The sequence below is a fragment of the Homo sapiens genome, chromosome 2 (genome assembly GCF_000001405.40).
Source record: "Homo sapiens chromosome 2, GRCh38.p14 Primary Assembly".
In the NCBI taxonomy this organism is placed as follows: Eukaryota; Metazoa; Chordata; class Mammalia; order Primates; family Hominidae; genus Homo; species Homo sapiens.
In genome coordinates, this window is record NC_000002.12 from 206,216,926 (window position 1) to 206,230,944 (window position 14,019).

The window sequence follows — 14,019 nt, forward strand, 5'->3', positions numbered from 1 at the left end:
TAGCATTATTCTTTCTCTTTCTTGCATGACGTTAAATAGCACATTTCTCCCAAACATCTAAAAACTCTGATGATAGAAATTTTAGAAATAGACATTTGGGAGAATATTATATCATCAAGTCATATTAATTTTTGTCAGTGATCATTCTAATCTTTTTGTTGTTGTTTGAAAAAAAAAATCTATCCGGAACAAAAGCATTGGAAGAGAGATATACAAAAGGACACTTTCTTACAAAGAAGCTGATTTATGAAAAACAAAGACACTTCAATTTTTTTCCTCCTGTCATACAGGGTGATGACTATCTTGTGTAAATGCCTTTCTTAGGGCTGGCTCTTCAGGGTAGTCACATTGGAGATTAGACTTAGGAGGCCCTTACTTGGTTAAACTGTGAGGCTGGAGACACACAAAGCTTTTTCCAGAGACTGAAATGGACTCACATGGCAGGCTCAGTAGCCCTGGGGGTCACAGCGAGGAACCATGGCAACCCAGCCATACAGGGACGTTTTCATCCACTTAAAGCAGAGAATTCTTAAAGGCTTCTAAATGAGGACGAAGCCTTGTCTAGATTCTTGCTTCTAATTCTGTTTTGCCCGATGCAGAAAGTGATTCTTGAGGATACTTAGTGGGAAAGTCTGCGGAGGACTTAGTTCTCCATCTTTTCCACTAAGATTTCCGAAGTTCTAATTACCTGTAGAAATGTGGGGAACAGCTTCTGTTTTATCTCTAATTTGAATAAACCTTCACTTTTAATATGCCAAATACGAATTCAAAAGAGATCCAGATACAAAGCATTTTTAGGTTGGTTTTCTTAACTACAATATACTGGCTCAGACACAAGGCATGCGCGGGGTGTGAAGCTTTGGGGGGCAAAGCAAGCACTCACCTCTCTGAAGTTGCCGGTGCCTGTGGCTGCTGCGGGAAAGTGCGTGGCCAAAGTTTTCAGGGCTCTGGGCTCTGTCTGAATCCTTGTGGTTTAATGATTTCTCTGGGAGGACGGGTCACAGCTGCCCTGAGTCTAGGAAGAAGTATTTCCTCTCTTTGCAACAAAGGGAAATACATAATATTTTAAGTTATTGCCCTGGAAAAGGAAATGTGGTTTGCCAGTGGTTAAGTAAATCTGTTGTACATCAGTTAGTCAACAGCATCTGGGTGACACCATTGTTGGCCCTGATTTAAGAGAAAGGGCTGCTGTGGACATTCAGGTCACTCCCAATTACCTACTCTAATTATGCTACTTTTCTCATTAAACTGCAGATAATTGTGGCTATGATGTAAGTGTATCTGGATTTTTCCAAAATGCCACATTTTAGGAAAGGAAAAGGATCAGATAAGACAGCATATTTTCTCAACCTCTTTAAACTTGTTCAGCTGCTACTTTTGCATTTTTCATTAGGAAATTGGTAGCCTGGGGGCTCACTGCAGCTGTGAATGTGTTTTGTTTGTGAAGCAGTGTTTTCTAGAGTTTGAATTAATTTCCAACATTTAGAAGTCAGAAATCTTAGCCATCTAGATTATCGGCTCCTCATGAAAAAATTAGCAGATCTGGGTACACTGGGCCCATGTCCCAACAGGGATACTGTTCGAGGTGTCTGCGTAGTGGCTTACTCCCAGCACCACCTGCCCGCTTTTGGCAGGGCATTGCATCCCAGCTCCACACCTTTCTCCTCTGTCCTCCTCACTCATGGACACTGTCTGGATCCTCCAGCAATTTACACTTTCAATTTTTGTATCTTTTTCTAATTCTTTTCCTATTGAGTTTCTTCCATTTAGGAAAATTGAATATGCAGAATAAGTCACTGGGTGCTTATTTTTACTGCATAAGGAGCTTTAGATTTGTTCATTAAAAGAAAATGAATCCCCAGTGTTTCCCTAGTAAAACCTGAATGCATTATAAAGCATTATGGAATTAACAAAACCAACCTTGCTGAGCTTAACTATGGAATGGAAGTATGACGAAAGGCCGTGTAGTAGGGAGCAGTCCACCTAGGTATAGGCAATAAAGGGACTACTGTCTGTAGGGAATTTAAAAACGATAATAAAACCAACTAAAGCCCTTCTGCTTTTTGTTGGCACCATGTGCCAGCAATTCTCAAGTCAATGATGAAATACTCCTCCCCTCAAGAGACCTCTTGTTGGTTTTGGTTTCAGTTGTGAACAATTACTGTGATTATAATGAGCTGTAGTTTTATGAATATGTATAATCTACTTTTAAATAGACAATGTATTTTACATAAAAGCTAAGTATTCTTATTTTAATTTTTGTTACTTCTCTTTAATAGACAATGTATTTTACATTGAAGATAACTGAAAAAACTCCCAATTATAAAGATGCCCCGATGCCATGTGTTGATTCAGATATGCTTTCTCTTGAGATTAAGTTGATAATGGCTCCAAAACACTGGCACAGCTTGCATTTTCCCATTGTGATCTACATGTGCCTGCATTCAAACAACAGATTTAAAATACATAATGATAGCACAACCATGGCAAAATAAAGAAGCAGAACTTGTCATTTCAACTTCTTTATTCCATATTCTCTCTTGGAATTTTTAGTTTTTTAAAATTTTAAACAGTGAAACAAAAAGTGCTTCAAGGTGTACTATTTTTTTTTCCTTTGGCAATTGTAAATTTTAGTCCATAGATGAAATTTTTGGCTGAATTTGGATATTTTTTACATTAATTTTTTTTTTTTTTGAGACGGAGTCTCACTCTGTCACCCAGACTGGAGTGCAGTGGCATGCTCTCGGCTCACTGCAACTTCCGCCTCCCGGGTTCAAGTGATTCTCCTGCCTCAGCCTCCCCGGTAGCTGGGATTACAGGGATGCATCACCACGCCCAGCTAATTTTTGTATTTTTAGTAGAGACAGGGTCTTGCCATGTTGGCCAGGCTGGTCTTGAACTCCTGATCTCAGATGATTCACCTGCCTCGGCCTCTCAAAGTGCTAGGATTACAGGCATGAGCCATGATGCCTGGCCTAAAAGTTATTTTAAAAAAATGATCACTTTGGGAGCTGAGGCAGGAGGATCACTTGAGCCCAATAGTTCAAGACCAGACTGGACAACATAGTGAGACTGTCTCTACAAAAAAAAAAAAAAAAATTGCTGGGCATGGTGGCTTGTACCTGTAGTCCCAGCTACTTGGGAAGCTGAGGTGGGAGGATCACTTGACCCCGGGACTTTGAGACTGCAGTGAGGTGTGATTATGCCACTGCACTCCGGAGCCTGGGTGACAGAGCAAGACCTTGTCTCAAAAAAAAAAAAAAAAAAGAGGAAGGAAAAAAATTTTTTAAAGTTTTTTTAATGCTCTGTTTTAAAACTACAAACTGAATCAAGAAGTAAAGGCATTATGGCAATGACGTGATTTACTAGTTGCCTGAATTGTACCTTCTGCAGACATTTCAGTTTTATTAAAATTTAGTTATTAATTGCTGGACAATTATTTGCATAAAATATTATTATGTCATACTGTAACCAAGAGCTCTATGGTCAAATTTGTTAGATATAAAAACTGTGAGGAAATCATTGTCCATTTTTTCTTTTTTTGTACTGTGGATATATATTACTCATTTATTTTTAATTTAGTTTCCTGGCACAATTATATATTATGAGGTTCAATTAAAAAAAAATTCTGTGGTAGCTCATGCCTCAGTGTGGTGACTCACACTTGAAATCCCAGCACTTTGGGAGGCTGAGACAGGAGGATTGCTTGAGTGCAGGAGTCCAAGACCAGCCAGGGTAACATAGTGAGACCCTGTCTGTAAAAATTAGCCAGGTGTGGCAGCACATGCATGTAGTCCAAGCTACTTGGGAGGCTGAGATGTGAGACGGAGCCCAGGACATTGAGGCTGCAGTGAACCACAATCATGCCACTGTACTCCAGTCTGGGCAATAGAAGGAGACTCTAAAACAAACAAACAAACAAAAAACACCTCACCATCTGCAGTTTTTGTTTCATTTCATGATATTACTGAAATTATTCTGGTCATATTGAAAAAGAGAGTACTAAAAATTGATCTACTATAGATGCCAGCATAGATACACCACTGCAATGGTACACAGAGACATCAAAGTAATGTAGGGGAGGAAAAAGTTCCTGTGTACCCTCTTAAATTTGGAAGCTGGGGCTTGCAAACTGAACTGACAAAAGACAGATTAACAGGAGAAAAAAGATTTATTTCACGAGCACACAGAGGCTTCACAGAAAAGAATTAAAAACCCAAAGAAGCAGTTCAGAGCTTGTATACCATTTTAACAAAGGGTGATAAATTGTAGAGAAGTGACTAGACAAAGGAAAGTGAGGTGGTTTGGGCTTCTAGGGGCAGTAAATTGTGGGAAGGTGACTAGGAAATGTATAGTAGACAAGGCTTGTTAAGTAAAGTTTGTTATGCAGGATGTGAGGGCGGTCTGGTTGTGACATCTCTCACCCCATTGATTGCCAGGGTTGATTCAGCTGATCTGGATGTCTAGGCGGGTGTCCCCTTCCTCCCTCACCACTCCATGTGCATCCCTCTCGAAGTGCACACTTGGTGGAAGAGGATGACCATCCCCAATAAAGAAGGACTGGTCTTGGTCAAGGGTATAAGAGTAGCTGTGCTCCCCTTTTAGAACCTCCAAATAAGCTCCCAAGTTTGTTATGCAGACTCAATTCAGTGTCATCTCCAGTGATAAGATAGTCTGGTGGTTAAATTTGTTCTCCTCTCCTGGTACTAGAGAGAAACATATCTTTATAAATGGAAACCTGTGTTACCTGTACAAAGGGAAACTTATGCACTGGTTTTAGGCAGAAAGGAAGACAGCAAAAGTTCTTCCTGTGTCCACTATTTCTTAATTGCCTTCAGCTCAAAATATTCCTTATACCAAAGTGGTATATTTGGGGGTGGCATATTCTGATCCCCTTCACAAACTTATCAATGTATGTCCCGGTTCATTGGGTTTCTTCTGTTCTGTTGGAGCCTCTGTACTGAATTTTTAGAAACTTTTCTTTCTAAAAAAAAACTGTGGTAAAAAACACATAAATCTTACTGTCTTAACCATTTTTTAAAAGAGAGGAGGTCTTGCTATTTTGCCTAGACTGAAGTGCAGTGGTTATTCACAGGTGCTATCATAGTACATTATAGTCTCAAACTTCTGGGCTTATGTGATCCTCTTGCCTTAGCCTTCTGGGTAACTGGGAATACAGATACACACCACTGTGCCTGACTTATCTTGACCACTTTTATTTTTATTTACTTCTTATTATTATTATTTTAGACAGGATCTCAGCCTGTCACCCAGGCTGGAGTGCAGTGGCATGATCATGGCTCACTGCAGCCTTGACCTCCTGGGCTTAAGTGATCCTGTCACATCAGACTCCCAAAGTGCTGGGGTTACAGTTGTAAGGCATGTGTCTGGACCTTAACCATTTTTTTTACGGGGGTGGGGATGGAGTCTCGCTCTGTCGCCCAGGCTGGAGTGCAGTGGCACAATCTCGGCTCACTGCAATCTCCACCTCCTGGGTTCAAGTGATTCTCCTGCCTCAGCCTCCTGAGTAGCTAGGACTACAGGCGCGCGCGACCTCACCCAGCTAATTTTTGTATTTTTAGTAGAGACGGGGTTTCACCATGTTGGCCAGGATGGTCTCGATCTCTTGACCTCGTGATCTGCCCACCTTGGCCTCCCGAAGTGCTGGGATTACAGGCGAGAGCCACCAAGCCTGGCCTGGACCTTAACCATTTTTAAGTGTACAGTTCAGTAATTCACTTTTATATTGTCATGAAACAGACCCCTAGAATGTTTTTACCTTGAAAATCTAAAACTTTATACCTATTAAACAACTACTTCCTTGATATTTTTTTCTTTTCTTTTTTTTTTTTAGAGATAGGGTCTCACTCTGTTGCCCAGGCTGGAATACAGTGGTGTGATTATAGCTCCTGGACTCAAGTGATCCTCCCATCTCGGCCTCCTGAGCAGCTAGGACTACAGGCTTGTCACACCACACCTCACTAATTTTTAAATTTTTTGTAGAAGCAGGGTCTTGCTATGTTGCTCTGGCTGGTCTCAAATTCTTGGCCTCAAGTGATCCTCCTGCCTCGGCCTCCCAAAGTGCTGGGATTACAGACATGAGCCACTGTGCCTGGACTACCTCCCTTTTTTTTTTTGAGATGAAGTCTCGCTCTTGTCCCCCAAGCTGGAGTGTGATGGTGCGATCTCGGCTCACTGCAACCTCCACCTGTCGGGTTCAAGCAATTCTCCCGCCCGAGTAGGTGGGATTACAGGCTCCTGCCACTACGCCTGGCTAGTTTTTGTATTTTTTAGTAGAGACAGGGTTTCACCATGTTGGCCAGGCTGGTCTCGAACTCCTGACCTTAGGTGATCCACCCGCCTCAGCCTCCCAAAGTGCTGGGATTACAGGCGTGAGCCATTGCGCCTGGCCCCCTGAATTTTCAAAAGGAGATCTCAACTGATCTTTTCAGCCATCCTGAAGAAGGGAATCAACCTCACAGTGGCAATGTAAATAGAAAGAACAGTCCAAGCAGGTCCTGACAGGACAGACTAATTTGCCTGGAGTGGCAGAGGTACAGGTGGAGTTCCTGGAAGAAGAAGGATAGAAAAGAGCCCAGACCATTGTCTTTACCATAGGCTTTGGAGATGCTTGGTATCTTTGGCATGAAACCATCCATAGAATAAGATGCTAGCAGCTTGTTTAGGCTTTACTGCATTACAGTCAGGGTCACACTGTAGCACCTGCCACTCACTCATTCAAAGGAACTTTTAAAATAGTAACTTTGGTTGAGTGCAGTGGCTCATGCCTGTAATCTTAGCACTTTGGGAGGCTGAGGCTAGCAAATTACTTGAGTCCAGGAGTTAAAGACCAGCCTGGGCAACATGGCGAAACTCCATCTCTACAAAAAATACAAATAAGTAGCCAGGTGTGGTGGTGCACGGCTGTAGTCCCAGCTTCTCGGGAGGCTGAGGTGGGAGGAGTGCTTGAGTCTGGGAGGTTGAGGATGCAGTGAGTTGTATTCATGCCACTGTACTCCAGCCTGGGTAATAGAGCAATACCTTGTCTCATTAAAAAAAAGAAAAAAAAAAAAGAAAGAAAGAAAGAAAAGAAAACCCCCAAACCCCCTAAAACAAAAAACTTTTTTTCTTTTTCTTTTTTTTTTTTTTTAGACAGAGTTTTGCTCTTGTTGCCCAGGCTGGAGTGGAATGGCACGATCTCGGCTCACTGCAACCTCCGCCTCCTGGGTTCAAGCGATTTTCCTGCCTAAGCCTCCCAAGTAGCTGGGATTACAGGCACCTGCCACCAAGCCTGGCTAATTTTTGTATTTTTAGTAGAGACGGGGTTTCGCCACGTTGGCCAGGCTGGTCTCAAACTCCTGACCACAGGTGATCTGCCCACCTCGGCCTCCCAAAGTGCTAGGATTACAGGCATGAGCACTGTGCCCATCCAAAACCTTTTTTTTTCAATTAAAACAGTTGCAGCGAGGCATGGTGGCTCACGCCTATAATCCCAGCACTTTGGGAGGCCGAGGTGGGAGAATCACTTGAGTCCAGGAGTTCAAGACCAGCCTGGGCAACACAAGGAGACCTCATTTTGAAACTGACAAAAATCATTCTCAACCCTCCCCCCGCCATTTAGAGAAACCAGTCTTGACATTTTGGCATATTTTTAATATTTAAAAAATATCTATGTGAGATTAGGTCATACATGGAGTTTTATAGCCTACCCATTTTACTTACATCATGAGCATTTTTTCGTGTCATTACATATTATTCACAAACATGCTTTTAATAGCTGCATAATATCATACTCTACAGAGTTCTTTAAGGCATTTTAAAAAGTGACAACTAAATTTATTGCCACACACAAAAGTTTCAGTGCTGTCAAACCTGTCTTCCAAGCAATTACTGGTTTATCTTATGCTGAAATAAAGTATTATCAAGTTGTATCCTAAAGGATAAGTACATTTTAAGAAATATTAAAGTAAAAGACAAAACCTTAGCACAGGCTGCAATTTAGGCAAAATAAAAAGAGAATCTGGTGTTATCTGTCAACAATTTAGAAAGCTTTTTCCATAAAATTAAATAATGACGTGATATGTCATTCACTGTACTTGTAGCAGCATAATTACAATAATGAGACTTATTTAATATAATGAGACTATATTTTAAAAATGTTATTCCAAGCATGCTACTTCGTGGTGCTTTGCTATTAAGCTACTTAATATTTTCCATTTAAGTTTTTATGAAATCCAGGAAGCAACGTGAGGAGAAATTTTTGTTGAATTATAAAGCATATTGAAATGGAAAAACAAAAGCCTCTCTTGCATCCTCTAGAGTCAGATAGCAACAGAGTTGGAAGCTTATAGCTTTAGCTACAGCCCACAAGCCCTCTGCAATGAATACAAATTTATAGTGCTTTAAAGCATAATAAAAAGAGCATACTTGATATTTTATTTCCTCTCCTGTCATTGTGGCTATCAAAAAGTTGCAGTTAATGTCACCTTTGGAAATTTGTCTGGAAACAAAACCAAAATTATTATGGCACCAATGCACATAAGGGTGATAAATACAAAGAGCAGGACACTCTTGGCCAGAACAGAAAATGGAAATGGCACTGAAATTACTTGCTGGTAGAAAAAGCAGAGTCAAACTGATTAAGTGCTGTTGCACTTGGAGATAAAGGGCCCAGCCCTGAGAAAGGCACTGACCACGCATTTTCGAGGAGAGGTCTTTCCTCTCTAGAATGAGACTCTTCAACTTTCAGTTTTGTGATTAGTCACTTGTTTCAGAGGGAGAGGAGAGCTCATCAAATACTGATGGCAAGATGGTGCGATGAAGGTCTAGAACTGTATTATAGTATGCTAATGTTTGATTAAGACAAAGTGTGTGCATATGTGTCTATATGTGAATATGTGTGTGTATACACATGCGCTCACACACACATCTGTATATACTTATATTAAAATGGTTATCTATAAATAGGGTAGAATAAAAGGTGAAAAAGATAAGGATGAAAGCTGTCCCTATCTGCAATCCATTCCCTTTGCAACAAAAGGTATCTAAAAAGTAACTTGAGCTGGGCATCGTGGCTCATGCCTGTAATCCCAGCTACTTGGGAAGCTGAGGTGGGAGGATCACTTGAGCCCAGGAGTTTGAGCCTGTAATAAGCTATGACTTTGCCACTGTGCTCCAGCCTGAGTGACAGAGCAAGACCTTGTCCCTACAAAAACCAAAAAACATGTATCTCAATATATAATTCTGTTTTTGTAATCATATTTTTTATTTAATTAAATGAATAAAACAGAATCAAATGAAGACAGCAGTCTTTAAAAATGAAAAACAACCTGAAACTAATGAACCTAACTGTATGTCAAGTTGGTAGCATATTCATACAGAGAAAAAAATCATTTCAAGTGACTTTAAAATACAGTATTTTTCCTGTACATCCTTATGAGATATAATTTAAGAACAAAAGAATGGCAAAGAAACTCAAAACTGCAATCAGTATTTATTGATAGTAGAAATATTGGCATTATCTGAAAATATTCTAGATATATTGAAAAGTAAAGTGAAATTAAAACTTACATAAATATAATTTAGAATGAAGATATTCAGTAATCAGTACAAGAGCAGAGAAATAATGTACAAAAATCAAGGAAGTTTATATTCATGGGTAACAAAACCCAAAAGAAATGTATAAATAAATATGAATAAAATAATTTAAAACAATTTAAAAAAAGAAAGAAAAAATATAAAAAAAGATTTAAAGAATCAAGGAGGTTAAGTTAAAACATTGTAATTTTAAATTTGAATTGGAAGTATAAGAATGAACTCAAAATTATATTTTTCTCTTAAAAATGTAATTTTAGCTCTGTTCTCCAAAACACCTAGAAGTAATAAAAAGCAAGTGACGAGCTCCAGTTGTGCCTAGATTACAGTCTCTAAATATCCATTTTCTTTACAAAGCTGCCAGAAGTCTTTGGAAAAATGATAGGAAATGTACACTACCTATATGAGGTTAGTACCTATATGAGCTGGAAAACAAAGAAGTTATAAATTAAGTCAAAATGATAAAACAGCCATCTATTTTTTTGAGATGGAGTCTCACTCTGTCACCCAGGCTGGAGTGTGGTGGCGTGATCTCGGCTCACTGCAACTTCCGCCTCCCGCGTCCAAGTGATTCTCCTGCTTCAGCCTCCTGAGAAGCTGGGACTACAGGCATGCACCACCACGCCTGGCTAATTTTTGTATTTTTGGTAGAGACAGGGTTTCACCATGTTGGCCAGGCTGGTCTTGAACTCCTGACCTCAGGTGATCCTCCTGCCTCGGCCTCTCAAAGTGCTGGGATTGCAGGTGTGAGCGACTGCACCTGGCCATAAAAGAGCCATCTTGAAGGGCCATTCTCTGGTCTCAGAATAGACATTTTGGGCAGAAATCAAGATAAATAATGACTACAGCTCATCAAATATATTAAAAATCTATGAGTTCATAATGACACTGAAGGAAAAACTAATTGGTCACCATTTGGAGGTCATTAGGACATTATAACTCATTTACTGTCATTACCCTGAAAATAAGGAAAGAATTAAGCATTTTCCTGTGTTTCCTGTATATACTATGCCCAGGATAGCCAAACTATTAATAAAGGAAAGTTTTCCTTTACATAAAAAATCCAGCTTATAACTGTAGGTGGAAAAAAAAATGAAAGGATTAGAAAATCACCATTTTGCAACTCCTAAAAATATAATGGATCTAGGCAATCATCTTCAGTGGATGCTAAAATAAGTAGATTAAAAGTTGATGGAGGAACTTTACAAATGAAGAATTAGGCTACTACCTGAACCCAACTGATTGATCTTAACATCACTAAATGTGGGCCAGCCAGACATTCCGTGCGTCTTGATGTGATACAATAGAAAGTGCACAGCATCACCTATGAAGTATTCTTGCCTAAAGTAAATTGAACCAAATAGAATCAAATCTCTAAATCTAACTACCATTTTGCCAGAAATGCCGGGGATGGAGGAAGAGTTAAATGACATTATGAGAAAGCAACCAGCCACATCTAAAATTTGTAACATTCTAAAGGATAAATGATTCTCCAACAAATTTATTGTACGAGAATGAAAGGAGAGATGAGGGACTAATAAAATAAAAGAGATTTAAGGGACTTTATAACCAGATAAAATGTGTAGACCTTGTTTGAAGGCTGGCTGCCTTTGAGACAATCAGGGAAATTTTAACACACACTGGGTATTAGATGAAGTAAGTAAAGGATCCCTTGTTAATTTTGTCAGGTGTGATAATGGAAAGATGATTATGTTTAAAAAAGTTTGTTAGTTAGCAATACATCCTGAAATGCTTATTAATCATATGATATCTGGGTCTTTAAAATATGCTGGTGTCCTAAAATACTAAACAAAAAGATTTAAAGAAAGGTATGGCCATCAGGCAGAAATGTTTCAGAGATGACTGGTAGAATGGGAAAAGTATTCCTTGGTTTAAGCAGTAGGTGAGTCATTGGTGACTTTACAAGAGCATCTACAGATGGGTGGTCGAGGAGCAAGGCAGACCAAATGATTTGGGGAGAGTTAGAGGAAAGGGGGTGGACAAGTGCAGTCAGTGAGAAATTACTTATTTTTTTCTTTTGAGACAGGGGTCTCACTCTATCGCCCAGGCTGCAGTGCAGTGGCACGATCTCAGCTCACTGTAACCTCCACCTCCCAGGTTTAAGCAATTCTCCTGTCTCAGCCTCCTGAGTAGCTGGGATTACAGGCATGCGCCACCACACCTGGCTAATTTTTTGCATTTTTAATAGAGACGGGGTTTCTCCATGTTGGCCAGGCTGGTCTCAAACTCCTGACATCAGGTGATCTGCCGGCCTGGGCCTCCCAAAGTGTTGGGATTACAGGTGTGAGTCATCGCGCCTGGGTGAGAAATTACTTTTAAAAGGCTGGAAAGGGCTGGGTGCGGTGGCTTACGCCTGTAATCCCAGCACTTTGGGAGACTGAAGTGGGCGGATCACCTGAGGTCAGGAATTCAAGACCAGTCTGACCAACATGGAGAAACCCCATCTCTACTAAAAATACAAAAAATTAGCCGGGTGTGGTGGCACATGCCTGTAATCCTAGCTACTCAGGAGGCTGAGGCAGGAGAATCTCTTGAACCCAGGAGGTGGAGGTTGTGGTGAGCCGAGATCGTGCCATTGCACTCCAGCCTGGGAAACAAGAGTGAAACTTCGTCTCGGGAAAAAAAAAAGGTTGGAAAGATATTAATAAAAATAATAATAGTAATAGTAACTAGAGGGGTTTGAGAAAGGTTTGTTTGCTGACCTTTTTTAATGTGAAGAGATTCTATAGAGAGGGAAGGGGGATAATGCCTGCCTTTTTTTTGAACTTTCAGAATTTGGTCTACAACACCATGTTCTCTCTTTTCCTGTGCCAGAGAGACAGGCAATATTCTCGAGAATGTCTTCTCCTTTTCCCCTGAGTCCCAGAGTGAGTAAACTTGGAACAGAGTTTCCAGCCAAGGTATGATGGATGTGTAGGGAGAGTGAGAATAAACCTCTATTGTTTTAAGCAACTGACATTTTGGAAGTGTTTGTTATTGCAGCATAACTTAGCCCATTTGATTTAGGGATACATTTTAACATAATAAAATACAGAAGATGTCTAATGGATTCTGGAGTAGCGTTCAGTCAGACATACACTTGCAATAACACCTTACCAATGTGGCCAAGGGAGAATTTAATGCCACCAACTGTGTGTTCTCCATCTGGGTCTCATAGTAATGGTACCTACATCTGTTTTCTCTGGTAGGACCACAGAGAAGGTTTCTGTGTTTTCAGAGAAGGTTTTTTTCTTATCTTTTCACAAGAATGGAAGTTAAAAATAGATCCCCCTTTGGCAGCATCATGCTACCCAGCCCTTCCTTCCCTGCCAAAATGGGTTGCACTAGCAGAGGGTGGCCCAGTCTATGGGCCCTAAAATCAGAGCAAGAAGAGCTGGGGCTGGGGCTGGGGCTGGGGGGTGAGGCAGGTTGAGACACTTCAAACTTTAGGAAGTCTGTAGAGGACTTGGTAAGTATTCAAAGAACACTGGTAAGGAAAGTAAAATGGTTGGAAACTTTGACCCAGTCTAGGTCTGCAAACTCTGAGGACCAAGCATGGTGGGATATTGGAACTCCTTCCCCATCTTCAGGCAGGATCTGGGATTTGTTGCCTGCCTGAATCCTGGTGCATTTATTGAGGCACTGCAGTTACCCACTTAGCAGCTCTCCCTGGTTTCCCTCAGTGGAGCCCCACTGGGCAGGAATGTGATTAATCTGCCCATGGCCTAAAATCCTAGCTAATGCTTTGGTGGATCAGGCTTTGTCTTAGAAATATTTTCCAGTGGACAGAAAAACAGCTCTTTCTGGCTCACCACAGGGTCTGTCTCTAAGAGTGCTCTCAGAACTGCTGACATAGTGATATATTTCTATGAGGCAGTAATTAGCCAACTGCCCTGGGGCTGATCCCTTCTACACTTGCAGCAGGTTCACAGCAGGGATCCCTGCTGGATAACCTAAGCCCAGTTCATCTTAGGACTCAGACTTGCTTGGGCATGATCTGGAAGGCTGATGTGTCCCAGGGGGTTGGGTTTTTGAATTAAGAGCCTCATGGAAAGGAACCACATAAAGGGAAAAAAATAATTGAAGTTCACAGGTTGGTTTAAAGATAGCAAGAAGCCAAGTACTGGGGACAAGAGAGGGCAGGGTTGTGAGGGTGCTGTGATGGATGTCTGCCACTCCCATGGCCCTCTGTGTCAGCTTGCTGGGCTGCACTCTTGCGTCCTGGAGGAAGGAGAAGGAGCGGCAATAAACATCAAATAAGAATGGAAAGAGTTGCTCTGCTGGTAACCTCAGTAAGACACAAAGGGGACCAGGACACCTTACTGTGAAGCTTCATCTGAGAGCACCCTGATTTTTCAGTTTCCCGTGGCTATCCCCAGGGTCACCTCTGGCTTCTGCTCCCACTGGCCTCTTCACCCCACCCCT

The 14,019-nt window shown here is 41.0% G+C and overlaps 1 protein-coding gene, 1 long non-coding RNA gene and 1 pseudogene across 6 annotated transcripts in view; 2 read left to right on the forward strand and 1 right to left on the reverse strand.

Annotated features, from left to right (window-relative positions):
* CMKLR2 (chemerin chemokine-like receptor 2) overlaps positions 1 to 987 on the reverse strand; it is a 42,597-nt gene extending 41,610 nt beyond the window's left edge. For 3 of the 5 annotated variants that reach the window (NM_001098199.2, NM_005279.4, XM_047443968.1), the window contains exon 1: positions 884 to 987. The gene's annotated coding sequence lies outside the window, so the exon portion shown is untranslated. Of the gene's footprint in view, positions 1 to 437; positions 689 to 883 lie in introns of all 5 variants that reach the window. The other 2 variants (NM_001261452.2, NM_001261453.2) reach the window with 1 other exon arrangement.
* Positions 1 to 14,019, forward strand: part of CMKLR2-AS (CMKLR2 antisense RNA) — a 62,868-nt gene that overhangs the window by 13,550 nt on the left and 35,299 nt on the right. The gene's annotated exons all lie outside the window — the stretch shown is intronic.
* Positions 4,390 to 4,632, forward strand: RN7SKP200 (RN7SK pseudogene 200; annotated as a pseudogene).